This window comes from Homo sapiens, chromosome 18 (genome assembly GCF_000001405.40).
Source record: "Homo sapiens chromosome 18, GRCh38.p14 Primary Assembly".
In the NCBI taxonomy this organism is placed as follows: domain Eukaryota; kingdom Metazoa; phylum Chordata; class Mammalia; order Primates; family Hominidae; genus Homo; species Homo sapiens.
In genome coordinates, this window is record NC_000018.10 from 53,848,143 (window position 1) to 53,851,902 (window position 3,760).

Genomic DNA, 3,760 nt, shown 5'->3' on the forward strand with positions numbered 1-3,760 from the left:
AGGGACAAACCATATCACAGAGCTTAGCCCAAGAGTTTATTTGAGCCACATTTATTCTCAATTCCTTTAAAACCCTGTCTAACTCCCCCATTTACTCCAAAAGAACATGTCTAAGGAATCTCAACCCAAAGGAATCTTTCCCTTTTCAGTATTATATATGGCACCTAAGAATTCTGAATACTATCTATCTCAAATCCAGTACTCCCTATCAAAGTTTCTATTTCATCTTCAGGAAGTTTCATGCCCTAAGAGCAACCTTGCACTAATCTAAAGATTCCAAGAGACAATAATAATATTAAGACACTTGTTATTAAAACCTTTCCATTAAATGAGGAACCATTTGGTCATATTCAACTATTAACAAGATTTCCACTTCCCAACATTCTATTTTTCAGGGCATACCTCTAGTCCCATATTCTCCATGAAACTGCCTAACTACTTCCTTCCCTGCTACAAAATTGAATTGGTATTTTTAATGTTGGTACTGAAGACAAACAAAATTTCATGTTTTTTAGGTAACAAACTTTGCCTTGAAATCATTGTATCTCAACTATACAATAAGCATTTTGTGAAATGTATTACATACAGATACTGCTTGATTTATGAAGTCAGTTGTTAGCCAGTTTTCCCTTGCTCATTTGCCATGGAAAGTATTTGAATTCTCTGAGATCCCTCTTCAAATTGTACTTGCTTAATGAAGCCATTTCAATAAGGCAGTGAATTGGACTTCTAGGACATAACAATGAGAATTGAAAGAAGCTGCCGACCACATCACTTTAGTGTAAATCATTCATCCTCCCCTGAGTACATTTCACACTTGCAATTTCTCAGTCTTACCTTGATTGTTAGCTTGCATGGCTCAAATTATGTCTCTATGTGCATGTCTTCATCTGGAGCTGGATAACTAATATCAGATATCATACATTTACTTTTACTCATTGCAAAGATTTTCCCTGTACTCCTACTGCCCTGTACTTGTGTGCTTGTAGTATATTTAAATTGTATGGCAATACTAGATATGTGTAATGTGAAGAATGGGGGCTTATTACTCATTGCTCTGCAAGCAGCATGAGCATCATCATATTTCCACCAGTTTACTTTGTCCCCAAGTCCCACAGGCACAATGCAGATAGATGCCTATGCACACAGTTGGTGGCATTACAGGAAAGGAACTTTTAATTTAGGGATCCAAATCTTTTATAACAGCAGTATATGCCTGCCTTTTGCTCTGGAGAAAAACTAACTCTATTTTCCAAGGCTGTTCACTATATAAATATTCTTGAAAAGATAGTCCAGAACAAAGGACATTTACTGCCTCCCTCATAGTGTGTACAGAAATGCAGGAATTATCTTCCAACATAGCATACTATTAAGAAAGAAAAATGATGCCAATGCTAATTGTGCTGTGACAACAGATGTGAAATAGGAATTTTCTGGACAATTCAGGACGTAGGTTCACTAGTGGATACCTACCAGTCTCTGACACACCTTTTAATTCTGTAGTATCTACCATTTGAAGGAAAACTATAAAAGACACCAGCTCTTTAGGGACCAAGAAGTACATAAAGGTAACAGTGCCCAGTACAGCCATTTTCCAGTTATCACAACTGGCTTCTTAAACTTAAAGCCTCTAGTGTTAGGATCTTGAATGGATTTGATATGTTGTGACATTACTGTTATGTTATTTAGTGTAAGGGGTTTAGACTAGGACACCAGGCACCTAAGATTGAGTCAGATTTTCTATTAATTTTATTTCTGATCTTGGACATGTCACTTAACATTTAACCTCAATTCTTTAATTCTGTGTAATGTGTTACTAATGTCTTTATCTCAAGTGTGACTTGAACTAAACCATGGATCATGGTCTTGTAAACTGAGATGAAACTAGGTCACTGGATAACTTCCTTGGCCAAAGTATCTTTGGCTCCACTAATTCTGAGTTCTTGCCTCTTCTAGAAGATATTTCATATTTGTGCCACAGAATGCAATGAAGTGTTCTTTCTCTTAAACCTGTTACATTTTGGTCTAATTCTTGAAGAAATTTAATAGGAGCTAAGTGATTTATTTATCTTCTGTTTTCAGTTGGGTTTGCTTGTACCATAGGCCTCATATCACATACCAATCCCAGCTGCTATCCTGGAAAACTGTAGAGGAACTTTCTGAGATCATCTTCATATAGGTACAGGAGAAGAGACTGGTGGCACTTGTGCCAAATGATTTCATCTTTTTTTCTGAATTCTCGCTCCTTATTTGCCGTTATTTGATCCATTTCTTTCCATCTAATTACTTCAAAAAACAATTAAAAGAGGGAGAATCTCTTTAATTGCTTTTTCAATAAAGACCTAAGAAACACTTCACCTACAATGTCTACTATGTATTATCTCCTTTTTATCCATAATCTTCAGTTAGTTCAATTAATTCTTAGGTGTTTTCTTGCCTTTCATGTTTTAATTATTTTTTAATATTGGTTCTGAAGTCATTATAACAGGTTTTGTAAACTTTGGCAGTGAAAATGGGGTGGGGAGAGGCCTGCCAATATGCCTGATTTCTGATCTGCAACTTTGCAATGTTTCTATCCTTCTCATTTCATTTTCAGAAAATCCTTTTTTTTTCTTTTTCTTAAAATTGTCTTTTGCAAATTAGTCCTATAGGATTTCAGTTCAAAGAACTGGTCTAGGTCTAGGCTTCCAATTGTGGTATTTTTAAACGCAAACTCCAGGTTTCCTGTGTGGGTTCTTTGTTTTAAACTTTTTGTCAGTATCTTCTTAATTAATGTCCTTATTTTATAACAATTTCCTATTTATAATTTAATTTTTCATTTAATTTTCTTTGCTTCATAAAGAAAAGTGAATATTGTTTAGGAAGCAAAAAGAACAGAAGGGCTTATAGAGAAAATCAATAATTCTCTTTTCCATGCCTCCCCACCCACAGAGTCTTAATCCCCAGAGGCACCCTTTTAACTGCTTGCTTTTTGTTTTCCAGAGCCTTGCCTTCAAATACTTAATTAGCACATTTATTCCACTATTTATCTGTTGGCCTCCTGCTATGAGAGGATTTCATTCACACCACTCCCCACTTTCTCAAACCTTTCTCTCTAGTTTTATCACTATAGCTTTCCCTCTGAACACCTCTGCAATAACAACAACACTAGTTAAATTTTCATTTCTTGGTCTATAAATTATAGAGAATATATCTTGGTTTTATTCTTTTTAAGTCAACAGGACACTAAAGCCCCCACCCTTTCCTTCTCTCTTTCTTCCTTCTTCCATCTCTCATCTCTGTCCACACTTTTAATAATGGCCGGTTGATACTGTTTATAATTTGTCCTATAATCTTAGCACAGTCTTCCATGATCTATCAGCTGATTCTAAATTAATTTACTATGCCATGTTAATAACGAGTTAGGTAATAAGCTGTGACTCCATTTCTTCCTCCAGTGGCATGTTCTTCACTTAAAGTAGAATGGACTTAGAATTAGTTCAACTGGGTTCTTTTTTTTCTTTACAGTTTACCAATTTCCTTTAGCATATTCTCAAATATTTCTAGATTCACAATAATATTATGTGTCATTTTGTTTTCCCTTTCTTTCCCTTTCAAAGATCTTCCTTTTGGAGTCTTAATTCTCTTTCCATATGTGGATTAGTTGCTTTCCAGGCTAATACACACTTTCCCTCACTGCACTCTGGTTTGGATCTTCTGTTTCCTGCATCCTATGGCTTTATTCTTTATTTGCTATTTTTCTGGAGTATATCCTCAAGAA

General features: G+C 35.3%; 1 annotated feature.

Annotated features, from left to right (window-relative positions):
- Positions 2,608 to 3,377: an enhancer, noted in NCBI's record as "OCT4-NANOG hESC enhancer chr18:51377120-51377889 (GRCh37/hg19 assembly coordinates)". NCBI's record gives its function as "activates a minimal SCP1, AML or CMV promoter by ChIP-STARR-seq in naive H9 embryonic stem cells {active_cell/tissue: H9 hESC(naive)}" and the evidence as "EXISTENCE:reporter gene assay evidence [ECO:0000049][PMID:30033119]".